At 45.1% G+C, this 26,415-nt stretch overlaps 1 protein-coding gene and 1 pseudogene across 2 annotated transcripts in view, besides 4 other annotated features; both read right to left on the reverse strand.

Moving 5' to 3' along the window:
- Nucleotides 1-25,178, reverse strand: part of C13orf42 (chromosome 13 open reading frame 42) — a 90,270-nt gene extending 65,092 nt beyond the window's left edge. The window contains exon 1 of one of the 2 annotated variants that reach the window (NR_102431.3): nucleotides 25,043-25,178. The gene's annotated coding sequence lies outside the window, so the exon portion shown is untranslated. Of the gene's footprint in view, nucleotides 1-24,777; nucleotides 25,013-25,042 lie in introns of those variants that run through there. The other variant, NR_102432.3, reaches the window with a different exon arrangement.
- Nucleotides 1,058-1,949: an enhancer, noted in NCBI's record as "OCT4-NANOG-H3K27ac-H3K4me1 hESC enhancer chr13:51722404-51723295 (GRCh37/hg19 assembly coordinates)". NCBI's record gives its function as "activates a minimal SCP1, AML or CMV promoter by ChIP-STARR-seq in primed H9 embryonic stem cells {active_cell/tissue: H9 hESC(primed)}" and the evidence as "EXISTENCE:reporter gene assay evidence [ECO:0000049][PMID:30033119]".
- Nucleotides 14,485-15,142, reverse strand: RPL5P31 (ribosomal protein L5 pseudogene 31; annotated as a pseudogene).
- Nucleotides 21,095-22,014: an enhancer, noted in NCBI's record as "OCT4-NANOG-H3K27ac hESC enhancer chr13:51742441-51743360 (GRCh37/hg19 assembly coordinates)". NCBI's record gives its function as "activates a minimal SCP1, AML or CMV promoter by ChIP-STARR-seq in naive H9 embryonic stem cells {active_cell/tissue: H9 hESC(naive)}" and the evidence as "EXISTENCE:reporter gene assay evidence [ECO:0000049][PMID:30033119]".
- Nucleotides 22,015-22,934: an enhancer, noted in NCBI's record as "OCT4-NANOG-H3K27ac-H3K4me1 hESC enhancer chr13:51743361-51744280 (GRCh37/hg19 assembly coordinates)". NCBI's record gives its function as "activates a minimal SCP1, AML or CMV promoter by ChIP-STARR-seq in naive and primed H9 embryonic stem cells {active_cell/tissue: H9 hESC(naive and primed)}" and the evidence as "EXISTENCE:reporter gene assay evidence [ECO:0000049][PMID:30033119]".
- Nucleotides 22,935-23,854: an enhancer, noted in NCBI's record as "OCT4-NANOG-H3K27ac-H3K4me1 hESC enhancer chr13:51744281-51745200 (GRCh37/hg19 assembly coordinates)". NCBI's record gives its function as "activates a minimal SCP1, AML or CMV promoter by ChIP-STARR-seq in naive H9 embryonic stem cells {active_cell/tissue: H9 hESC(naive)}" and the evidence as "EXISTENCE:reporter gene assay evidence [ECO:0000049][PMID:30033119]".
- Nucleotides 25,179-26,415: the final 1,237 nt, after the last annotated feature.

A 26,415-nucleotide genomic window follows, 5' to 3' on the forward strand; every position in this document is an offset into this window, starting at 1 on the left:
CTTGGACTAGGTGTGGTGGGGACCCCCTTTCTTATCTCCTACACAGGAGAACAGTCTCTGTGAGAGTCAGTCCTGCTATAGGACAAATCCCGCTTTGGTGCCTGTGGCCTAGCTCCCTCCGTGCCTGTGAGAGAAGGGGCAGGGGCCTGGGTCCCAGTCATGGCTCTGCTGACCATGGGACAGTGGCTGCTGTGATCCTCCAGGGCTCTGTGGACTCATTTTAAACGCAAGGGGTGAGGCCAGGTATGGTGGCTCATGCCTGTAATCCCAGTACTTTGGGAGGCCGAGGTGGGTGGATCACCTGAGGTCAGGAGTTCGAGACGAGCCTGGCCAACATAGTGGAACCCCATCTCTACAAAAACACAAAAATTAGCCGGGCATGATGGCGGGTGCCTGTAATCCCAGCTACTCGGGAGGCTGAGGCTGGAGAATCGCTTGAACCCGGGAGGCAGAGGTTGCAGTGAGCTGATATCGCACCATTGCACTCCAGCCTGGGCAACAGAGCAAGACTGTGTCTCAAAAAAAAACAACGAAGGGGTGGATTTGGTCCAGGTCTTCAACCCTAGTTGCACATTAGAATCAATCACCTGAGAGATGTTTAAAAATACCCATGCCTGATCCTCCTCACAGACCAATTAAATCAGAACCTCCAGCAGGGAGGAACGGGTCTGTGGCTAATAAAACGGCTCAGTTGATTCTCACATATGGAGAGGGCTTGAGAAGCCCCGGATTAGGGGATCTGCAAGGGCCTCCTATGTCTGACGTTTGCCACTCTGTATATGACAGAATCATAGGGTCCCTGGGCTCTGGGTGCTGGTGGACCCTCCCCCAACACATGGAACCAAGCAAATGGAAATGAAACAGCACTGGATGACGCTTTGCATCTGCATAGCACTTTGACCCATGTGATTTCCGTAAAATCCCATGGCAAATTGGACCCCTATGATTACTTCTAGTGGAGAGGAAGGAAAAGAAACAAGGGCCAGCCAGGGAGAGGTCTCCCCAGGCCTTGCCAGCAGCCTGCCTCCCAGTCCTTGGGCTCAGCCAAGCCTCTTCATCTCTTTACAGAGACAAGGGAGCGCCTGCCCTGTGCCAGGCACTGCAGCAGGAAGGACTACGTCAGCAACATAGCACACACGCACGGCCCCTGCCCTCAGCAGGGGAGGAGAGCGACGCACAGGAAAACATCTTAAATGGTGTGATAGGCATCATGAAGGACGCCCACAGGGTGCCATGCAGAGAACAATGGTGGTGGCAGGAAGCCCCACAGGGAGGTGACATTTCAGTGAAGAGCTGTAAGGTAAAAGCCGGCAGCCCCCTGCAGAGCCAGGAGGCTCACGAAGGAAGAGCACAGCTCATGCAATCCCCTGAGGTCCCCCTGGAGGGGGGTCCAATGACACCTGGGGATGAGAAGGAAAGTCATCCTTTCCCTCCACCACATGGTGGGGCTTCTGGCTTATGGACAGGAACCCACTCCCACTGGGCAGCGACGTGCCTTAGGAAAAGGAAGAACAAACCCCCTAACTGGCTGAGGGCCCAAATGCCCCGCTGGCCTCAGGAGCCAGGGCTCTTTGAGGGTACCCTCCGCCGCCAGGCCCCAGCTGGGCCCGTATTGACCGTTTGGGCTTGCTGCTGCCTCCACGCCCTGGCTGCCCACCTCAAAGGCTCCCAGGACTCCACGGCTCAGGCTCCCTCTTGCAGGCAGCTGCTCCTTCCTGGGGCCAGGCTTCCCTTTACTCTGCAGAGGGGAATGGGTGCTGTTTTCCTTCCCCTCACAAAGCATCTTTCTGACTGCCCACCTCCTGCCCCACACAGTTTGAAAGGCTGATAGTTTCGAGATTCTGAATGAGGCTTCTGCAGAGGCCTTCTTGTGCTCCACAAGAAGGGCTGGGCAAGAATTTCAACCACGCTGCTAATTTCAGTCCGTCACTGCGGTGGCAGCTTCATATTTTCCCACTAGATGGGGTTCTTGATCTCTGCAGCTAAAGATCAGCTAGCTAGAGAGAATTCCAAATCATTTAATTTGGCTCTGAAGGCTGCTTAGAAATTTTATTCAAAGCAGAGGGAAATCTTTTATAGGAAGTGGCCAAAGGCTGAAATTGAAAAAAAAAAAAAAAAAACCCTAAAAATCTGGTTTCTGTATCTTCCTTAATTAGCAAAGGTGATAAAGGGTAATAAGTGAAAATGTTTGCAAAGGAAACCTAGCAAATCTGAAATACAGATGCAAATGGAGTGAGCTAGAAATGATTTCTCTAAAGAGCCATTTTGAACAATGCTGTAACTGCTTCTTCCCTTTGAGACAGCCAGAAGCATTGACCCTGGACATTCAAGCTGAAAAAAATATCCTTTGGTCTGGTCATTATCACCATTCTGCTTGATCAATGGTAGCCTGGTTCTCATTGATCCACTCCAGCCCCCAGACACACAAGAGAGGTAGCACAAGGTAGACGCATAGTGAAGCCACTATGAGCCAAAGGCAATTATGTTTTTCCAGTGCAAACTCATTTTGCTCAGTTCGGGAAACAGTTATATCTTTGAAGTCATTTAGCATGAATATTTCTCTTCATCATCAATAATAAGCACCTCTCTTGTCCCTTCCTCTGTAGGAAGGCTTTCTCTGACGTTTTTAGGCAGAGTTGAGATGGTGCCAGAAACAGCAAGAACAAAAAGATACTAACACTAACCCTGTCTTCAAGAGTCTATATCTTAGCCCAAGAAATAGCACTCTTCCCAGAAAACAGTAGAAGATACACATTATTTACATCATCTTAGAACTTTGCATGGATAAATGAAATATTTGACGAATAAACTCAGACCTTTGTATTTAGAAGTTAGAATTTTCCGTAGATATAAAACCAGTTTTAAAGAAGCTTCCCTTTTGAAGTGCCATAACAGAATTGCACAAGAATTATGGACAAAATTATGTAGACAAAAACACATGATCAGCTTTTACTGCTGACATTTTCATTTACTGTGGTGTCGTTTGTGGGACCCCCACATTTCTCCAGAATTGGGGATATTTTTTAACAGGCAGCCCTTGGTCACTTGGTCACAGTGAAAACAAACATCTTTGAGCACTTGGTCATTGTATGTCACAATTTTCAAATTTACAGCCACCAGCGTATCCTACTGGGGCGACTGGGGGAATCAATACTGGGCTTTATTCTTATTATATACTTGGAACAGGTTCAATGTAGTCCCTTAGGAAGTAATATTAGAACTTCAATCACACGGGAAGGGAGGCTTTAAGAAAGTTGCTTCTGTTAACACACTCCTCCGTCCTGGTCACAACCAAAACATATATATTCAGCCCAAATTTGGCATAAATTCTGCGTAAATTATATATACTTTCAGCAGTTCTACAAACATTTTTCAAGAAGACTGGCTGTATAACAGAACCTCTTTCTTTCCAGAAAGCAGCTTTGGCCATCCTAAAAAATGCAGTGGACTAATCCAGATGAGCCCATCAATTTGCCTAGGGGTCACTGCTTGTGCCACCAGAAAGATACTCGCAGAGAGACCCTCAACAACTGGGGCTATGTTGTTCCATCCCAGAATGAAAACTAAAACTAGAGCTGCATTAGCACTTGCTGAGGTAAACTGAATTCCTTGGTTCTATGCAGATCTTGCCTGTGTATGGATGACTAGAATCAAAAGGCTACCAATGTCTTCTGAGATGCCAGAAGTCAGAAATAATCCCAGCTAAATGAAAAATACCAGAAATGCTACCAAAAAAATTGGCCACAGCAAGTACAGAGCTGTAGAATCTTCAACTCTTCAGAACCCCCCTGGCCTGAGCTGTGTGCATAAGGCCAATCACAGGCACAAATTCACTCTATAGACACTAGTCAAACATTGTAGTAGACAGAATAACAGCCCCTAAAGACGTCCACACATGAATCCCTGCAACCTGTGAATATGTCACACCACATGGTAATGTTACATATGCGAATATGTTACACCACATGGTAAAGGGAATTAAGGCTGCTAATCAGGTTAAGATGGGGGGATTTTCCAGATTATCTTTCTTAAAAATGGAAGAGGGTGGCAGGAGAGGGCAGAAAAATGAAATGTGAGAGAGACTCAGCACACCATTGCTGACTTTCAAGACAGAGGAAGGGGCCAGAAGCCAAGAAATGCAGGTAGCCCCAAAAGCTGGAAAAGGAAAAAAAAAAGAAAAAACAAACAAACAAACAAACAAAAACTCAGATTCTTCCCTAGAGCCTCTAGAAGGAACTGAACCCTGCGGACACCTTGATTTTTAGCCCAGTGAGACCTGTGTTGGACATCTAACCTAGAGAACTTCATATTGCTTTAAGCCACTAAGTTGGTGATGATTTGTTCCAGCAGTAATAGGAAATCAATATAAGCACCTTCTATGACCAGGCACTGACCCTGCCAATGCAAATATGCCCGGCATTCCAGAGACACATAGTCCAGTAGGGAGAGAAAATTCTGCACATGCAGGTAAAGCAACATGCTATGCACTAAACATGCATGTACCAAGCCCTGAGGGAGCACTGAGCTGATGGTGCTCCCCTTTGCCTGGGGGAGCCAAGGAAGGCTTCCTGGAGCAGAGGAGACATTTCAGCTTAACCTAGAAGCCTGATAGAAGGGGTCTGTACTATTCTGGACTTACATGGTCCCAGGGCCTTTTATTTAGACATGAATGCTGAAGAAGGAAGCAGTTTTTTATTGTCCAGGCTGGTCTAGACCCTTGATCCTCAAAGTATGGTCCAGGAGTCACGTGGGAGCTTGTTAGAAATGCAGAATCTCTGGCCCAGCCCAGCCCTACCAGGAGAGAATCTTCATTCTAACAAGATCCCAGGGGATTCATAGGTGCATGACAGTTTAAGAATCACTGCCCCAAATAACAATATTCTCATACTCACCACAGTGTGGAAAGAAAGAAACAGGTTCCAGAAATTGTTTACATATGTAACCCTGATAGCATGGAGGTCCCTCAGAACATTCCTACTGCTATGTGACCATGCTTAGAACGGTGCACTCCAGCTCTGTGTCGTTTCTCAGCATCTACATAGACATCACATACACCATCAGGCTGTACGTCTCCTGTGGAAACATTTAGCAGGCTTTATTTTATAAACACTTGGTTACAAACATCACCCAGTTCTTCCATTTATTTATTTTTTAAGAGATGGGGTCTCACTCTGTTGCCAGGGCTGAAGTGCAGTGGCACGAACCTGGCTCACTGCAGCCCTGACCTCCTGGGCTCTAGTGATCCTCTCAGCTCAGTTTCTCTGAATAGCTGGAACTACAGGTGCATGCCACCATACCTGGCTAATGTTTAAATATTTTTTAGAGATGGGGTTCTTGCTCTGTTGCCCAGGCTGGTGTCAAACTTCTGGTCTCAAATGATCCTCCTGCCTCAGCCTAACCCATTTCTTTTTTAGAAAACACAACTTCAGCTCTAGCATTCTGATAGTGCAAAGTTTTTCTCCTGCTTGATGACCTCAATCCCAAAATAATTTACTCTAACAGCTAAATCTTCAAATCACTGAGCCTCAATTTACTTCTACCATCAGTAAAAAGAGGTCAGGGTGGCTCTGGCAAACCTAAGCCCTAGTCCTGGGAAATCCACAGATAACCCTTTAAGGCTCACTGGCTTAGTGACTCAATCCCTCCAGCCTCTTTGCTATGCTCGAGCCACATGTCTGCTGGCTGTGGATCCCATACATGCAGAGCTGCGTCATGTTCGCGGGCACCCTGGGGACACCTGCTGCGGGGTTGATGTTTTGTTATGTTTCTGCAGCACAACCAGGGCTGGCTTCTTGGGGACTGTATACAGTGCACTTGCCCAGCCCCACACACAGAAGGGATTGAGGTTTAGTGCTCTGCAGTGGCAATCTTAAAACTCTTAATGATTGTATCTTTGAATTAATGTTTTGTAAGTCAAGTTATGTGCCAAAGACTTGGAGCCTCAGCTCCTGCCATTGCACCTGCCGCCTCCCTAGCAAGGGTTCTTCAACACCCCCTCCCCTGTCCTGCCAAGTGACCACTGCCCCTTTTTCCTGCTCCCTCCATAGGGTCCTGCTGAGCAACCACTGCCCCCTTTTCCTGCCCTCCTCAGAGTGTGGGAGCCAGGCATGCACCCCCTGCATGCCCAGGGCATCAAGATGAGGTCCTGGGCACCTATAAGTGTCTGCACTCACCCAATGCCTATGCTTGTGCCCAAGGGAGTGTGACACTCAATACCAAATAAAAAAACATGACAGAGAGAGAGAGAGAGACAGAGATAGAGACTGTGAGAGAGAAAGCTTTTCTCCTACTTTAAAAAAAATTGTAGTAAAAATTATGTAACATAAAATTACTCTCTTAACCATTTTAAGTGTACTGCTCAGTTGTGTTAAATACATTCACGTTGTTATCAACCCATTTTCTTGCTTTCTGTTTTTTTTCTTTTTTTTTTTTTTTTTTTTTTTTTTGGAGACAGGATCTCGCTTTGTCGCCCAGGCTGGAATGCAGTGATGCAATCTCTCAGCTCACTGCAACCTCCGTCTCCTGAGCTCAAGTGATTCTCCCACCTCAGCCTCCCAAATAGCTGGGACTACAGGTGCATTCCTAGCTAAGTTTTGTATGTTTAGTAGAGAAAGGATTTCGCCATGTTGTCCAGGCGGGTCTCAGACTCCTGGGCTCAAGCAATCTACCGCCTCGGCCTCCCAGAGTGCTGAGATTACAGGATTGAGCCACCATGCCTGACCCAACCCATCTTCAAAACTGTTTTCTTCTTGCAAAACTAAAATGTGATACCCATTACTCCCCATTTTCCCCTACCCCCAGCCCCTGACAACCACCATTCTACTTCCTATCTCTATGAATTTGACAACTCCGGTACGTCACACAAGTGAATCATACAGCTTTTGTGTTTTTGTGACTGGCTTATTTCACTCAGCATAATGTCCTTGGGGTTCTTCGTGAGTAGCATGTGTCAGAATTTCCTTCCTTTTTTAAGCTGAATAATATTCCATTGTGTGTCTATGTCACATTTTGTTTATCCATTCATCTGTAGATGGACATTTAAGTTCCACCTTTTGGCTATTGTAAGTAATGCTGCCATGAACACGGTATGCAACTATCTCTTTGAGTCCCTGCTTTCGATTCTGTTGGGTATGTTTGGAAGTGGAATTGCTGAGTCATAGGGACTCCTGCTTTTTGAACACACATTTTCATTTTGAACTGGGCTGTTTAAATTATACAATTATACAGCTGGCTCTGCACATGCCCAGTTAGGGTGCGTATGAATCACAGTGTCGGAGGACTGTTCTGCTTCAGCCAATGGAACTAAGGACTAAAGACTTTCCATGTTTGACCTGATAGTGTCACCACCAGAGTGGAGCAAGCGAGAAAAGTAAGAGACTGAGCAAGAGTGCTCACCCTCAAGTGTCCCCACCAGTCAGAAGCAGCATGTATTGACATTCATGGCTGTAGAACATTCTGGAACTGGTTTTCATTTATCAATGCATGCATTATTTCTTCCAATGCATATGTATTAAACCTCAGCTACGTGCCAGACCTCGTTGAAGACACTGAGGATAAAGCAGTAAACAATGCATGGAAGGGTCTTCCATGCAAGTCAGACAAGTAAACTAATTGCACATTCGACGGTTTCTTGTGAAAAGTTCTATAAAGGGGAAATGTTGGGCCCTGAGCCCAAGGGTAGAAAGCAGGCTGTGCATGAGTCACTGTCCTGCTTTTAAGGGGCCGGTAAGGTAGGACAGGAGTTTCCAAAGTGGTACGTGAGATGATCTTAGGTAGAACGTTTTATCTTTTCTTTTTAATAGGTACATATTCAGTTTAACGTATGTTTAGAAATATATATCTAATACCTCAAACCCTCAATTCTTAACTATCTCCTGGATGATGCTCAATTTAAAAAGGAGTTCATGTAAAATGAATAAATATAAGCTAAATATTAAAGCCTATTATGTTGTTATTAAAATAAATAAATAATGCAGGAGCTACATGAATAAGACCTAAACATTTAAAGATTGCAACTCAAAAAAACTACATTTTGGAAACTCCTTGTGGGTTTTAAAGATAACTTTTTTAATACAGACATATTTTTAAGAAGAGTATAACTAGGGCTAAGATACAAGTAAGTCCATGGGGAAAGGGAAGCAGCTGTGTTTGAGAGGAGCTCCTAACCCAATTTAGGGGATTCAAGAAAGGCTTCCAAGAAAATTGCTTCATGCAATGAATTTTGTTCCTTGAATTACTCAGTCCAGGTGTATTTGTGTGAACTCTTCAAGTATGAGCGCTGGAAACCCACTACAGCCAGTTTAAGCAGGAGGGGTAATTTGCAGATGAGGATGCTGGGTGATCCCACAGTGGCTCAGGCCTCAGAGTGACCCACCTCTCTCAATCTCTGCTCCTGGTCCCCACTCTTATCTGAGGCTCTGCTTTACCTCTCACACTCGCTGCACACTTCCTTTCTCAGTATATTTCCAAGTGGACAAGATGGAAAACGGCTACCGCATTCTTCTATTTATATCTCTTCCATTCAAAGACAATCTCAACTGATGTTACCATTTCTTACTTCCAAGTCTTGACTTCTGGGGAAGAGACTCTGGTCAGGCATCACAGGTGACCTCAGAGGCGGGGTCTTGTTCACACAAGGACAACTGTCACCACGTGGTCAGGGAGGGGAAAATTACCAGAATCCAGATGGGAATGGGGTTGGAGATCCAGGCAGAAAACCTGATGGCACAAGCTGGAAAAGTCCTCATTTCAACAGCTTCCAGACTCCCCTGTGCCTGACATCAGTGTAGGTAGGAACTGCCAACAAGCCTGGAACAACATTTTCTCTTAGGCCACCTTGAGGATACGGGTGGCAGGAGAGATCTGGAGTGACAGGGGACCTTGACCCCACCCCCGGCCTGTAACCCAGGGGTTCTCTTGGGGAAGAAGGAAAGCAGTCCCATGGGCCTGCCACGTGCCTAGGATTCGGGGCTATGTTAACCCATAGGAGGGAGGTAGGGAGCAAACAGTTTGGCTAGGCCTATATTTCTACTTTATATCCCAGAAAATAATGGGATTTGGCCCTTCCATTTGAAAGCCTGTGTCATTCAACAGAGTAATCGGTAACACATGTATAGCTCTTACTATGTGCCAAGTGCATACTGTGTTCTAAGTGTTTTACACAGATTAACTCAAATAACTCTGTGATACATAGCTGCCACTACGCCCTTTCCTGAAGATGAGAAAATTAAGGCACAGAGAGGTCAAGGAACTTACCCACATTTACACAGAAAGGAAATGAGGAGCTGGAACTCAAACCCAGGAAATCTGTCTTCAGAGCCTATGGTACTGATCAAAAGGCCACACAGACCAAGGTTAAAATCTTGCTTCACCCCTTACTTGTTATAAGGTCTCTTTAAACTATTGATTCAGTGATAAAATGGAACAAAAGACACCTACCATATAAGATTATTGTAAAGACTAGTGGAAAAAATCGGTATCTACAAAGCACTTAGAACTGAATAGGTACTTGATCAGGGTAGTTACTATTGTTAAGGAGAGATAAGGAATCTGAATATTGTTCAGCTCTCATGGGCATCTGGTGATGGGGTGTGTCCCCATTTTCCACACTGTAATTGTCTGCCTAGGCCAGCTCTCATTCAGGCCAGTTCACTCTGTTGCAAGGGAATAATCCACGCAATTGTTACCCAGTGCCATAGGTGGCTGAGTACAGCTTCTCGTATTACATATCTTCACATCCTGCTGAGCAACAGCACTAGTGGTGCTTTTTCTATAGTTATTTAAAATTTCAGTTCTCCTTAATTGAAGTAGAGCATACATAAAGGGCACAAATTGTAAATGCACAGCTCCAGTGTTATATGTGCAGATGTCCAGATCCAGGCCTAGAACACTTCCAGCACCCCAGAGGCTCCCTCTGCCCTTTCCCCATCAATTCCCACACTGGCCAGGAGCGGTGGCTGCCGCCTGTAATCCCAGCACTTTGGGAGGCCGAGGCGGACGGATCGTTTGAGGTCAGGAGTTCGAGACCAGCCTGGTCAACATGGTGAAACCCCATCCCTACTAAAAATACAAAAATTAGCTGAGCGCAGTGGTGTGCACGTGTAGTCCCAGCTACTCTGGCAGCTGAGGCAGAAGAATCACCTGAACCCAGGAGGTGGAGGTTGCAGTGAGCTGAGATTGTGCCACTGCACTCCAGCCTGGGCGACAGAGCGAGACTCCATCTCAAAAGATAAAATAAAATAAAATAAAATAAAATGAAATAAAATTCCCACACCAAAGAGGTGGCCAATGGACTGACTTCTATTGCCTTAGGTTCATTTTGCCTGCTCGTGAACTTTGTAGACATGGCTGGATTTGTACTGCCAGTGTTTTTGTAGGCACTTCTTGCCTTCTTCTGCCATGCAGGTGAGTGAGCTATTTGTGGCCAGCGAGCCTTTGTTGAAACCCCCTTTGTTCCTTACTGCACCCCTACACACGCTTGTACAGGAGCAGACCATGCCAGCATGAAGAGGCAACCAACTGGTGTTTTTTTAATGTTAGATAAATAAAGCAGGGTCAACAGAAGCCTCGTGTATTGTGAAGTAATAAATATTCACTAAAATTCAGAACTTGACAATTAAATATTGACACCTGTGTTCTGGCTCTCACAAAAGATTTAAAATCTCTCAGAGGATTTGTAAGTGGCAAGAGCAAGGAAAGAGGAAAGAGGAAGGCGTGCAGCCTTAAAGTGAGTTTAGGACAAGCTCAAGTCACCACCCTTAGTGACAGTACCAAAAATAACGTTTTTAAAAAACAAACAAACAACAACAAAAAACCAGGCTTTGCCACATTATTCCCAGGCCTTACACAGTGGACTTTGTGTACATTCTTGTATTCATTCCTTCAATGACTAGATATTATTCCCATTTTGCAGATGGGAAAATTGAAACTGAAACCAGTTAAGTAAATTGCCAAACATCCCACAATAAGTAGAGATGCCAGGATTTGAACCATCTTTGTCAGATTCCAGAACCTACAGTTCTCAGCCACTATGCTATGCATGGATGAGGGGTGGATGACATCCTGAACAGAACTCTGGCTTTGACAATGAACAGAGGCAGGTTCCTGGCTATGCCTCTCCCTGCTTCTCTTCAATCCTCAAGCAAGAAAAGAGCAGGGAGGGATAATTTCTACTTTGCTGGTTTGTTAAAATGTAAGTAATAATATTTTAAAAGCACCTCCCTCATCAAAGGCACTCAGCCAGTGGTGGCTTGTTAAAACTATTCACCATCACCCTCACTAGAGGTGAGCTGCCAGTAGCAATGATGGCTGCACATTGCAGCAAGGATCTTCCCAGCAGAAGTGACACCCACTGGCCATGGGGAGCCTGTACCTCTCTGTCTGTCACCTTGCACTTTGTAGGCCTTCCAGCAGGGTCTGTCTCTGGCCTGAAGGTCCCACGCAACACCACAGACAAGGCAGCAACTGAACACACAAGTCAACCGATGGATCTGAACGACTCGCAGTAACCCATCAATTCAGTGAAACAACTACTATTGATTTCTGGGGGTTTTCCACCCCACTGGTTGTTTAACTGAATTGATGGGTGTTCTGTGGAACTGATTGCACCAGCCAGTTCTTTTAGTGTGATAGAGGCAAAACGCTAGTATGTTTCCCAGAAAATGAATGAATCTGCTCGTTAAAGAGAATGTTCTGCCAAATAATTTTTTCCAATGACAGTGGTTTTCCTTCTCCGCTTCTTCTGCATAGGGATTGGGAAGCATTTAAGGGGCTTTCATTGCATGTCAATATGCTGATAAGCTGGCCCCTTTCAATTTCCTCACAGTTCTCAGGGACTGATTAGATGCCAGAATGAATCCACCAATCTCCCTCTCTCCACACGCAGACTTTTGCCAGTTCTGAGTCATTGTGTTTCATATGTTCCCCACCACCCCCACCAATCATGTGCATCAAAGCTGATTTTCCCCACTAAATGAAAATGCAGACTCTTAGGCAAGTCAACAGTATGCCAACTCTCAGGGCTGATGATTTACACACCTATGATTTATATTTTCTTCCCCGGAGGTTGCTTTTTGTGGATTTCAGACAGCACCACACTTGTTTTCAATGACAGTGATTAAAAAAACAGATGTCAGGATGAGGACTAGGGAACAGTGTGGGGGATAGAATGACAAGAAAATAAAGAGGCTGATCAAGAGCAGTCTGAAACCTTTCCTTGAGTCACTGAGCTTTTATGCTTCCCCCAGCCATGGGGAGAGACAGGCTTTTCCATTTCAGGAAAACATAGATTATAGAAAATATATAGATTAGAGTTGAATTTTCGTTGACTTTCAAAAAACAATCTCTCTCTTTGGGCTGTTGCCACTGTCATTGTTATTCCACTGCTGTGCTGAGATCTCAGGGTTATTGAAATTGGTGATGCAAGTAAAATTCTCACATACAATAAAAGAGAAATAGATCCGAAGGACATGGAGTCTCACTCGCCATAAAGCTCCATTAAGTCAGCTGACTCCGAATATGCAATGTATATTTTGCATTTTTATGCATTTTATACAGCATGAAGTGTCTCGTTTCTGGCAACTCATATGTAAGACAGTGTATTAGTTCATTTTGACGCTGCTGATAAAGACATACTGAAACTGGGAACAAAAAGAGGTTTAATTGGACTTACAGTTCCACATGGCTAGGGAAACTCTCACAATCATGGCGGAGGGTGAAAGATACTTCTTACGTGGCAGCAGCAAGAGAGAATGAGAGAAGGAGCAAAAGCAGAAACCCCTGATAAACCCATCAGATCTTGTGAGACTTACTCACTATCTCGAGAATAGCATGGGAAACACTGGCTCCCATGATTCAATTACCTCCCCCTGGGTCCCTCCCACAACACGTGGGACTTATGTGAGATACAATTCAAGTTGAGATTTGGGTGGGGACACAGCCAAACCATATCAGACAGTATTGACATTAAGGGTCACACAGTGTGGGGTGACACAATGCCAATGTTTAGAAATTTGATTTGTGGGACGAGAATGGTGGCTCACGCCTGGAATCCCAGCATTTTGGGAGGCCGAGGCAGGCAGATCACCTGAGGTCAGGAGTTTGAGACTTGGCAAACATGGTGAAACCCCATTTCTACTAAAAATACAAATAATTAGCTGCGCATGGTGGCGCAAGCCTGTAATCCCAGCTACTCGGGAGGCTGAGGCAGGAGAGTCAATGAACCTGGGAGACGGAGGTTGCAGTGAGCCGTGATTGCACCATTGCACTCCAGCTTGGGCAACAAGAGCAAAACTCCGTCTCAAAAATAAATAAATAAATAAATTTGATTTGCTTCTGCATATTGACATACTTTATGGTACACAAAAGATGAGCCAGGAAGCAAGCCTCCCTCATTGAAAACAAATGAGGAATTGTGAATTTGACTATAAGGCACTAGAAAGTAGACAATTTCTCAGTGGTACGAGAAGAGCATCCCTCAAAGTGGCAGGTATAAAATAAGTGGGAATACCTATAAATGATTAAAAACTCTTAGCAAACTAGAAATATAAAGGAAATTCCTTAACCTGATTTTTTAAATTATCTATTAAAATCCTACAGCAAATGCTATTTCTAATGGCAATCACTGAAAGTATTCTTTCTGAAATAAAAAACAGGGCAAGGAAACCTGTGACCAGCACCTCTAGCCAACATTGTATTGGAGATCCTGCCAGCATAGTAAGAAAAAGAAAGAAAACCTACAAAGATTGGAAACAAGAAAAAAAAAAAAAACAAAAAACTGCCAGTTGTCGCATTGTCCAAAAAGGAAAACTCAAGAGATATCTGTAAGTAGAATTAATAAGAGAGTTCCACACTGCTGTGGAATCTTCAGGACTTTTTTCTTTTTTTTTTTCCAGTTGCACCTAACCCACATATACTTAAAAGTAGTTTTTCTCATCAAGACTTTCCTATTTAGTTTTCAAAGAAATAACAACTTCACTAATTCATATAACATTTCCCTAAATCATAATTTTATTGTTAAGTATAACTGTCATTAACAGATTTTGGTCCAAACACAACTAACTCCTACTAAGTATGCTGCTAAAGTGATAGAAGCAGAAATGCATGGATGTATGAGCCTCAGCTATTGCTTATATGAAGCATGTCTTTTTAGCTAATGTTTTGACCCATGAGGGCCTTACCCACCCTGGAGAAACTGGATTCCTAGGGCTAGTCAATTCCCAGAGATGGTACTATGAGTGCCCTTTCATACACAAACCAACCAATCCAGAGCCCACTCCTCTCCCACCTCTTCTATCAGGCTCTTACACTCGAGGCCAATATTCCCTTGCCTAATCATCCCAGGACCAGGTGTCAGACAATTCAGGAAAGCCCCTACATCCCAGGGCCTGCTGAAATTATTCTAACTAGTCGATCCTAAGCTTGCTTACCTTGCCTCATCCATTCCTTCCCATGGAAACTACAATAAAGGTTCTTGCCTTGCAAGCATCTTCCATTAGGTAATGCACGTTGCAGAATCTGCAACATTCTGACCCATGATGTGCTTCTGATGCATTTCAGCATTAAGCTCCTTGATTTCAGAACCATAACCAGGGAATCGTTAGGCACTGTGAGGGATAGAGAAACCTCCATCCACAGCACTCTCAGAGCCCCAAAAACTTTATTGTCAGTGGTGGTTCTGGCAAGGCCTGCATCCAAACAGCAGGTAAAGGCACCTGGCTGACCATCAGTGCTTCCCACGTTGTATTCATCTCTGGTTACCTCCACTTGGCCTTTATAGATCTTGTCCATGCCAAACCTACTGAGAAGCCTGCATGCCAGCAGCAGGCCAGTACAACATGCTGCAGCATCATTTGTCAGGCCAACCTTTACACCGTATTTTGGAAGTTCGTGTGCATAAGCTGCACAGACTATCATGTCCCATTCTATATGGGCATAAGCCATCTCACAAATGGTATCTGTATTTATCACACAAATAATCATTCTGTATTTGTGTGTGTTAGACTTATTTTTATCCTGTACCACTAAGTGTTTCCAAGCATAGTAATCAGTTTTACCCTCACACTGTCTTCTAAAAGTCACTTGGTATCTCTTACAGTAGGCCTTATACTTGACAACTTTAACAAACCCCACCCTGCGGAACAGACCCATGTCCACAGCTCAGCACTGACTACTAGGAACTGGAATGTACTCAAATTCTCCACCTTGTCATATACTTTTGACATTCTCCATCTTGTCATATGCTTTTTTGAATATCAGTCACTCAATTTGAAGTCTATGTCTGATAACTCCAACATCAGAGAAACCTGTGAGTGTTTTTAGTTTGTCTATTTTATTTTTTCCCTTGGTCTTGTTTATTAGTATCCCCGGTAATTTTTGTTGGATACTGGACATCATCTTTGAAAAGTTACAGAGGTTCTGGATGATATCTCTCTCCCTTCATTACTGGTTCAAAAGAGGATTTGCTCTGTCCTCTGGAAGCTGGCAAAGAAGGAGATCACCTAAATGCAACTGGGCTGTGAGCAAGCCGAGGCTCAATGCGATATTTGAATACCTTGATCCATTCCTGGTTCATACCTTCTCCTGAAGCACAGCACTGCAGAAGTTCTGACTTAATGCCTGGAGTGCTTCCCAGGGCCTCTCCTCTTGGGTAGATCCCACACTTTAATATTTTGCTTCCCTAGCACCGTGAGTCTACCAGAAACCCTGCTCCACTGCAGCTGCTTTGCACTTGGCTTTGTGGCTCTCCTCACGAACAGCTTAAGTAACATATATTGAGGGAAAACTGATATTAAGCAAGGCTACTCCTTCACACTTCCTTTCTCTCTGAAATCTTCACCCATCAAGTCCTAGCTTTAAGTCCTTACTGACCCCAAATTCCAATTTCTGTCTCCCAAACCCCTTGAGGTTGAGGAAACCTCAGCTGGCTTCACCCCTGCTCAGGGGCCAGCAAATGTCCCCCAAGGTAAGCAGCATGCAGAACCTGGTCTAACCTCAAAGAACATTTCTGCCGCCTATGATCTTACCCTTCAAATATAGGCAGCCTCCATCATTCACGTATGCCTTTAATTTTATATTTTACTTTCTCCAGCTTTTCTAGTTTCTCTCAGAGGAAGCATCAGTCTGTTACATGATATTTCATCATAGTCAGAAGGTGAGGTCTGTTGTGCCAGACCCCTACTGACTCCAGCAGGGATGGCACGATGTCCCAGAGGTCAAAGAAGAGACCCAGGGCCAACAAAGGAGACCCAGGGTGTTTTGAGGACTTACATACATGGCAGTCCAGGAGCAGTGAGCAGACAGAAAAACCACTACTGTTTGTAAAAAGCATGCAGTTTCTATAGTATTTTCACTTAGCAAACTCCACCTACCAACCCACACCTAGCAGCCTCCCTTTAACCCACAATAAAGGGCCTCAATCCCCTGTATGACCTGCATTCCAAGGAATGGGCCAGGGGTTCGGATGTCCTTCATAGATAAGGAGTGAATCTCCAGGCTGGCCCCTGCTGGGTTCCTTAGCTCCAAACTCTGAACTCACATTCTTCTTAGACCATAGGATTATTCTCAGGGTATGCTTGAGTTATTGCTGTCAGATGTGTCTGCCATACAAAGTCCCACTGGGGACACATAGAAGGATGGGTACTAAGCAGTGAGAGTAAAACTAAAATGAAACACCGCAAGTGTTTAGTGGAATAGAGTCATAAGAACAGGAGAATGAAGGAATTCAGAATGGCAACAAGCAAACGGCAGGAGAGATGAGTCATGGGATATAGGATGTCTAGAAAGTGTTGAGGACAGAAAAGCGTTGAAAGAAAAACAGGGGCAAAGAGTTGTAAGCCAATAATGATGCTGGCCTTTCTCTAAACTGCTCTGTGTAATATACTTATCCACCAAATCGCCACACAGGCAGCGTACGGCTAGCGCTCAACTCAATGGATTACGTTCCAAAACTTCAAAATTGAAGTCATGTCTACTGATATGAAGTGTGGCTAGAAAGTATCTTAGACATGTGATCATGACATGCTTCCCCACTGGACTGTAAGCTCCACTAAGGGAGAGACCTTGTGTGGCTTGTTCACCATTGCCTCATCAGCCCCTAGCCTAATGCTCTGCACAAGTAGGCATGTTCAAAGTCTTTTTACTGAATAATGCACCATTAAAAACATAAATAACAGCCAGGCACGGTGGCTCATGCCTGAAACCACAGCACTTTGGGAAGTTGACGCGGGAGGATCACTGGAAGCCAGGAGTTCAAGACCAGCCTAGGCAACATAGTGAGACCCCCATCTCTACAAAAAATTTAAAAATTAGCCAGGAGTAGCACACGCCTATAGTCCTAGCTATTCAGGAGGCCGAAGTAGGAGGATTCCTTGAACCCAGGAGTTCAAGGCTGTAATAAGCTATGATTGCACCACTGCGCTCCAGCCTGGGTGACAATGCAAGACCCTGTCTCTAAAAATATGTAAATAAATAAAAACCTGAATAACAATTTTTGAAAACCATGAAATTATTTAGAACCTAGATGTACACTGAAAGTGGAGACAGTGAAGCAAAATTTCATGCTACGGGACATGAGGGGAAAAGATGGATTGAGGATGACATTAGCCAGAGCAATTGAAAGAATGGATTTGACATGGACTGAGATCAGGAAAGATGTGGGTGTTGCAGGTTTGAAGAGGGTCCAGATAAGAGTTTGGCTTTACATACGCTGACTTGGAGATATCCATTAGGGATCCAAGTTGAGATGTCCATAAGCAGAGAGATGAGTCCACAGTCTTTAGCATATGATGGCACTGAAAGCCTTGGAACTGAGTAAGATCATTACGGGTGTGCTGACTATCCTCCCTTTGCCTCCCTGTTGCCATGTTCCATCCTCCTATCCTTCTCTATCCTGGCTTATTTGGACTCTGTCAGTGAGATTTCTGCCTTCTATTCGGGTTCAGCCAATGGGAGCATGAGCAAGAGATCAAAGACCCAGACCCTCCTGGCTGAGCTGCCTTATGCTGACTCTGTCCCTGTATCAAAAGCTATAGCTCCCACCAGCCAGCTCACAATTTCTGTTACCCTTTTTCAGTTAAAGTAGCCACTCTTCTTCTAGCCCCTTCAGGCTCTCCACTGTTTCTAGCTCCAGATACTGCATTATCTATTGTTAGTGTGTTTCAATTGTACTCACATTTATAAAATGCCCCATTATCATACTCTCCTCAAATTACCCAGGTATTTCCTACTGGGGCCCTGACTAATGCAGGAAGAAGACACAGATATAAACCCAGGGACTAGGACCTGGGCAGTCAACTTAAGAGTTTGGGAAGAAGAGCCGGAGCAAGTAAAGGAGAACAAGAGGAAGCAACCAAGGATGTAAGAGACAACGTAAGAAGATGCGGACCCCAGGTGAAGAAAGCTTCTCCAGAGGGATGACCAGCAGTGTTGATGGTGTAGATAGGTCATGTGAGATGAGGACCCACTGAGAATATGCCACTGGCTTAGCAACATGGGAGTACTGATCACCTTGACAAGAGCAATTTTGGTGGGATGCTGATGGAATGTTTCCACATACAGTGGTTACAGATAGAAAACGAGAGGAGATTCTGCTGATCTCTTCCCAATGATAATAAGTAATCATATTTTCTGGAAAATGAGATATAAAACTATATTTAAGGTATATTTTTAATCGGCATAGCACTATGCAAATGTAGAGACTCCCAAATAATAATGACAGCCACCATTAAACAAGTACCAAGAGCCAGGCTCAGGGCCAGATGTTTTGCATATATTGTCTTACTTAATCTTCATAGTCATCCCATGAGACAGAATTATTATTCCCATGTAATTGATTCATTTGATAGTTATTTACTGAATACCTACTATGGACTAAGTACTGCTCTAACTTACATAACATCAGTTATCCAAAGGGAAAAATTAATCTGCTTTAATGAACTTACTTTCTGGTGGTAAGGTTCAAATAAGGAACTGCAACATGGAGAAGTCATGTAATTTTTTCCAAGTTCAAAAAGCCAGGAAGTGGCACATATACACCATGGAATACTATGCAGCCATAAAAAATGATGAGTTCATGTCCTTTGTAGGGACATGGATGAAATTGGAAACCATCATTCTCAGTAAACTATCGCAAGAACAAAAAAACCAAACACCGCATATTCTCACTCATAGGTGGGAATTGAACAATGAGATCACATGGACACAGGAAGGGGAACATCACACTGTGGGGACTGTGGTGGGGTGGGGGGAGGGGGGAGGGATAGCATCGGGAGACATACCTAATGCTAGATGACGAGTTAGTGGGTGCAGCACACCAGCATGGCACATGTATACATATGTAACTAACCTGCACAATGTGCACATGTACCCTAAAACTTAAAGTATTAAAAAAAAAAAAAGCCAGGAAGTAGAGGACCTGGAATTTGAATAAAACACTGTTCTTTCCGGTACATTTTTGACTTTGAAATAGCATACCAACAAATTTACAATCTCAAGGTTGTCTAAAAAATCAGGGATGACTTTAAGCTTTCTGTAGAATAAAGATGATTTCCAGGGCAAGTCTCAATTCCATATTCAAATATGAAACATCTAGGCTGGCACAGTGGTTCACGCCTGTAATCCAAGCACCTTGGGAGGCCGAGGCGGGCGCATTGCCTGAGGTCAGGAGTTCAAGACCAGCCTGGCCAACACAGTGAAACCCTGTCTCTACTAAAAATATAAAAATTAGCTATGTGTGGTGGTGCGCACCTATAGTCCCAGCTACTCAGGAGGCTGAGGCAGGAGAATCACTTGAACCTGGGAGACAGAGGTTGCAGTGAGCCGAGATCGTGCCACTGCACTCCAGCCTGGGTGACAGAGTGAGACCCCATCTCAAAAAAAAAACAAAAAACCAAAAACCAACAAATATGAAACACCTGATGGCCAATATTTGTCAAGGGCTAAGATTAAAAAGCTCAAATATCAAGTAATTCTGTCCAGGAAACCCATCAGTAGTTTGCTGCATTTGAACTCCAAAGGAAGCACAAACACATACAACACACACACACACTCAAACACTCTCTCTCTTACACATACACATGCTTTTATATAAACCTATCTGGGAGGGGAAGAGGAAGGGAGAGTGACCCTGGCATTGTATGTCTTGGACAAGTCAGAAGAAGGGGGGATTTCTAGAAGAAAGCACACACAAGCACCTTCTAAAGCTGAAAAGCCCTGTTTAGATATTTGTCTAACAACAATAGGTACAAAGCCCATGACTCAAGGATTCCCCAGATCCCTCCCAAAAACAGAGCCTAAGGAGTCAGCCATTGAAAACCTGGACCTTACCTTCCAGCAATGGCACAGGGTCCCTGATGGTGGTGCGGGGAGTGCTGGGTGCATGGGAGGGAGAAATACCCTTGCTCACAGAGACTGCAAGTCTCTTTGTGATACAAAATGACAGGAAAGTGACAAATAGCCTTTAATTCCATTTTCATGATTTAAAAAGTCTCAGGGCTCCATTTATTTATTTTTAATCTTCTGGGTGGGTGTGTCTTTTCTATCAGGATAAATGCCTGATTGGGCCTCGGCTAATCAACTCTAGCGGTTTCTGATTCTACCCAGGTATGATGGAAGATAACATATGTGTCTAACTTGATTGCCAGGCTTTGGTTGTATTGTACATCCTGCTGCCTTGTGGCTTTTACCTTTAATCTCTGTGAGCTCTGTATGCTCAGAGAATCTTTCAAAATCATTTATCTTAAGCTATCCAGCTGCTGCCTCTCAGTGTGTATGTCCGGCCAGAAGATGAAATTCCCATGAGCAAATGTGGGCTCTAAGCCCTCAGTGGCTATACAACACAGCCTTCCTGATAGACTCTCCAGAGTTTCATATTTTCTAGAAAGGAGAAGAAAAAAGGGACACTTCATTGTTGACCACCTACTATGTACCAGATGCTCCAACAGACACCTTATAAGCATTACTCCCCATTTATGGTCTCTTTTTCACAGACAAGAAAATGTGCCAAAGGAAAGCCCAGTTTGCAAGAAGCAAAGCCAAGATTTAAACCTAGTTTAGACTGTCAGTTGCATAAATCGGAGGTGCAGTTTCTCACTGTCTGGTAAAGTCTTATGTGCCAGAGATTGCTAGCTATCTCCTAGTAACTGTTGTCCCTTCTCTCTCAATTTCAGCTGAACAAATAGTTTCTCCAAATAAAGGCTATATTTCCCAGCCTCCTTTGCAACATGGCGTTGTCATGCAGCAAAGTTCTGACAAGTGGGAAGTAGTTGGAAGTGGTGAGCTTCTTCTAAGTTGCCCCATTAAAAGGAAAGGGCTTTCTTCCCCTGCCCACTGGCATCTTAGGCAAAAATGATGAGTTATTTCGGACTATGTAGATAAAGGCAACTCCCTACAGAGAGGAAGCAATAATGCAGAATGGGTCCCCATCACCAATGACATGAAGCCATCCTACCAATCCTGGGCTGCTTACATACCAACTAATATGGTTTGAATGTCTGTCCCCACCCAAATCCCACATCAAATGGTAATCCCCAATGTTGGAGGAGGGGTCAGGTGGGAGGTGATTGGATCATGGGGGCAGACTTTCCCCTTGCTGTTCTCATATTAGTGAGTGAGTTCTCATGAGATCTAGTTGTTGAAAAGTGTGTGGCACCTCCCTGCTCTCTCTCTCTTCCTCCTTCTCTCGCCATCTAAGATAAGCCTCTTTCCTCTTTGCCTTCCGCCATAATTGTAAGTTTCCTGAGGCCTCACCAGCCATGTTTCCTGTACAGCCTGTGGAACTGTGAGCCAATTAAACCTCTTTGCTTTATAAATAACCCAGTTTCGGGTGGTTCTTTGTAGCAAAGCGAGAACAGACTAATATAGAAAATTGGTACTTAGGAGTGGGGCATTGCTATGAGATATCTGCAAATGTGGAAACAACATTGGAACTTGGTTTAACAAGCAGAGATTAGAACAGTTTAGAGGGCTCAGAAGAAGACAGGAAGATGAGGGAAAGTTTGGAACTTCCTAGAGACTTGTTAAATTGTTGTGCCCAAAATACTGACAGTGCTATGGACAACGAAATCCAGGCTGAAGAGGTCTCAGATGGAGATGAGGAATTTATTGAGAACCAGAGCCAAAGTCACTTTTGTTATGCAGGAGCAAACAGATGATCTGAAACTGGAAGCAGAGTGTAAAAGTTTGGAAAATTTGTAGCCCAGCTATGTGGTAGAAAAGAAAAACCCATTTTCTGTGGAGGAATTCAAGCCAGCTGCAGAAATTTGCATATGTAAAGAGGAGCCAAATGTTGATAGCCAACATAATAGGGAAAATGCCTCAAAGGCATTTCAGAGGTCTTTGCAGCAGCCCCTCCCATCCCAGGCCTGGAGGCCCACAAGGAAAGAATAGTTTTGTGGGCCAGGACCAAGGTCCGGCCACTCTGTGCAGCCTGGGGACATGGTGCCCTGAATCCTGGCTGCCCCAGCTCCAGCCATGGCTAAAAGGGGCCAAGGTATAGCTCAGGCAGAGGGTGCCAGCCATAAGCCTTGGCAGCTTCCATGTGGTGTTAAGCCTGCAAGTACACAGAGTGTGAGAGTTGAAGCTTGGAAGCCTCTGCCTAGATTTCAGAGGATGTGTGGAAATCCTTGAATGTCCAGGAAGATTGCTGCAGGGGTGGAGTCTGTCAGGCCTCTGAGCCCAAGCCAAGCCATCGCATCCCCTGTGACTTGCATGTATACGCCCAGATGGCCTGAAGTAACTGAAGAATCACAAAAGAAGTGAATATGCCTTGCCCCACCTTAACTGATGACATTCCACCACAAAAGAAGTGTAAATGGCCGGTCCTTGCCTTAACTGATGACACTACCTTGTGAAAGTCCTTTTCCTGGCTCATCCTGGCTCAAAAAGCACCCCCACTGAGCACCTTGCGATCCCCACTCCTACCCGCCAGAGAACAAACCCCCTTTGACTGTAATTTTCCTTTACCTACCCAAATCCTATAAAACGGCCCCACCCTTATCTCCGTTTGCTGACTCTTTTCGGACTCAGCCTGCCTGCACCCAGGTGAAATAAACAGCCATGTTGCTCACACAAAGCCTGTTTGGTGGTCTCTTCACACGGACGCGCATGAAGTTTGGTGCCATGACTCGGATCGGGGGACCTCCCTTGGGAGATCAATCCCCTGTCCTCCTGCTCTTTGCTCCGTGAGAAACATCCACCTACGACCTCAGGTCCTCAGACCGACCGGCCCAAGAAACATCTCACCAATTTCGAATCCGGTAAGTGGCCTCTTTTTACTCTCTTCTCCAATCTCCCTCACTATCCCTCAACCTCTTTCTCCTTTCAATCTTGGCGCCACACTTCAATCTCTCCCTTCTCTTAATTTCAATTCCTTTCATTTTCTGGTAGAGACAAAAGAGACATGTTTTATCCATGAACCCAAAACTCCAGCGCCGGTCACGGGCTGGGAAGGCAGCCTTCCCCTTGGTGTTTAATCATTGCAGGGACACCTCTCTGATTATACACTCACGTTTCAAGGGTGTCAGACCACGCAGGGACGCCTGCCTTGGTCCTTCACCCTTAGCGGCAAGTCCCGCTTTCCTGGGGCAGGGGCAAGTATCCCTCAACCCCTTCTCCTTCACCCTTAGTGGCAAGTCCCGCTTTCCTGGAGCAGGGGCAAGTACCCCTCAATCCCTTCTCCTTCACCCTTAGTGGCAAGTCCCGCTTTCCTAGGGGGCAAGAAGCCCCCAGTTGCTTATTTCCACACCCCAACCTCTTATCTCTGTGCCCCAATCCCTTATTTCCGCACCCTGACCTCTTATCTCTGTGCCCCCATCCCTTATTTCCGTGCCCCAACCCCTTCTCTGCTTTTCTGGAGGGCAAGAACCCCCCAACCCTTCTCCGTGTCTCTTTTCTCTGGGCTTGCCTCCTTCACTATGGGTAAGCTTCCACCCTCCATTCCTCCTTCTCCTCCCTTAGCCTGTGTTCTCAAAAACTTAAAACCTCTTCAACTCACACCTGACCTAAAACCTAAATGACTTATTTTCTTCTGCAATGCCGTTTGACCCCAATACAAACTCGACAGTAGTTCCAAATAGCCAGAAAATGGCACTTTGAATTTTTCCATCCTGCAAAATCTAAATAATTCTTGTCGTAAAATAGGCAAACGGTCTGAGGTGCCTGACGTCCAGGCATTCTTTTACACATCAGTCCCTTCCTAGTCTCTGTGACCAGTGCAACTCGTCCCAAATCTTCCTTCTTTCCCTCCCGCCTGTCCCCTCAGTACCAACCCCAAGCGTCGCTGAGTCTTTCTAATCTTCCTTTTCTACAGACCCATCTGACCTCTCCCTTCCTCCCCAGGCTGCTCCTGGCCAGGCCGAGCTAGGTCCCAATTCTTCCTCAGCCTCTGCTCCTCCACCCTATAATCTTTTTATCACCTCCCCTCCTCACACCTGGTCGGGCTTACAGTTTCGTTCGGTGACTAGCCCTCCCCCACCTGCCCAGCAATTTACTCTTAAAAAGGTGGCTGGAGCTAAAGGCATAGTCAAGGTTAATGCTCCTTTTTCTTTACCCCAAATCAGATAGCGTTTAGGCTCTTTTTCATCAAATATAAAAATCCAGCCCAGTTCATGGCTTGTTTGGCAGCAACCCTGAGACGCTTTACAGCCCTAGACCCTAAAAGGTCAAAAGGCCGTCTTATGCTCAATATACATTTTATTACCCAATCTGCTCCCGATATTAAATAAAACTCCAAAAATTAAATTCTGGCCCTCAAACCCCACAACAGGATTTAATTAACCTCACCTTCAAGGTGTACCATAATAGAAAAAAGTTGCAATTCCTTGCCTCCACTGTGAGACAAACCCCAGCCACGTCTCCAGCACACAAGAACTTCCAAACGCCTGAACCGCAGCGGCCAGGCGTTCCTCCAGAACCTCCTCCCACAGGAGCTTGCTACACGTGCCAGAAATCTGGCCACTGGGCCAAGGAATGCCCGCAGCCTGGGATTCCTCCTAAGCCGCGTCCCATCTGTGTGGGACCCCACTGAAAATCGGACTGTTCAACTCACCTGGCAGCCACTCCCAGAGCCCCTGGAACTCTGGCCCAAGCCTCTCTGACTGACTCCTTCCCAGATCTTCTCGGCTTAGCGGCTGAAGACTGACACTGCCGGATCACCTCGGAAGCCCCCTAGACAGTCACTGACGCCGAGCTTCAGGTAACTCTCACAGTGGAAGGTAAGCCCGTCCCCTTCTTAATCAATACGGAGGCTACTCACTCCACATTACCCTCTTTTCAAGGGCCTGTTTCCCTTGCCTCCATAACTGTTGTGGGTATTGACGGCCAGGCAAACCTCTTAAAACTCCCCAACTCTGGTGCCAACTTAGACAATACTCTTTTAAGCACTCCTTTTTAGTCATCCCCACCTGCCCAGTTCCCTTATTAGGCCGAGACACTTTAACTAAATTATCTGCTTCCCTGACTATTCCTGGACTACAGCTATATCTCATTGCCGCCCTTCTTCCCAATTCAAAGCCTCCTTTGCGTCCTCCTCTTCTATCCCCCCACCTTAACCCACAAGTATAAGATACCTCTACTCCCTCCTTGGCGACCGATCATGCACCCCTTACCATCTCATTAAAACCTAATCACCCTTACCCCACTCAACGCCAATATCCCATCCCGCAGCACGCTTTAAAAAGATTAAAGCCTGTTATCACTCGCCTGCTACAGCATGGCCTTTTAAAGCCTATAAACTCTCCTTACAATTCCCCCATTTTACCTGTCCTAAAACCAGACAAGCCTTACAAGTTAGTTCAGGATCTGCACCTTATCAACCAAATTGTTTTGCCTATCCACCCCGTGGTGCCAAACCCGTATACTCTCCTGTCCTCAATACCTGCCTCTACAACCCATTATTCTGTTCTAGATCTCAAACATGCTTTCTTTACTATTCCTTTGCACCCTTAATCCCAGCCTCTCTTTGCTTTCACTTGGACTGACCCTGACACCCATCAAGCTCAGCAAATTACCTAGGCTGTACTGCCGCAAAGCTTCTCAGACAGCCCCCATTACTTCAATCAAGCCCAAATTTCTTCCTCATCTGTTACCTATCTCGGCATAATTCTCATAAAAACACACGTGCTCTCCCTGCCAATCGCGTCCGACTGATCTCTCAAACCCAAGCACCTTCTATAAAACAACAACTCCTTTCCTTCCTAGGCGTGGTTAGCGCGGTCAGAATTCTTACACAAGAGCCAGGACCACACCCTGTAGCCTTTCTGTCCAAACAACTTGACCTTACTGTTTTAGCCTAGCCCTCATGTCTGCGTGCAGCGGCTGCCGCTGCTTTAATACTTATAGAGGCCCTCAAAATAAGTAGAGGCCTTTCATACAGGGTCTGAGAAGGCCACCGCAGTCATTTCTTCCCTTCTGTCAGACATA

The sequence above is a fragment of the Homo sapiens genome, chromosome 13 (genome assembly GCF_000001405.40).
Source record: "Homo sapiens chromosome 13, GRCh38.p14 Primary Assembly".
NCBI classification, from domain to species: Eukaryota; Metazoa; Chordata; class Mammalia; order Primates; family Hominidae; genus Homo; species Homo sapiens.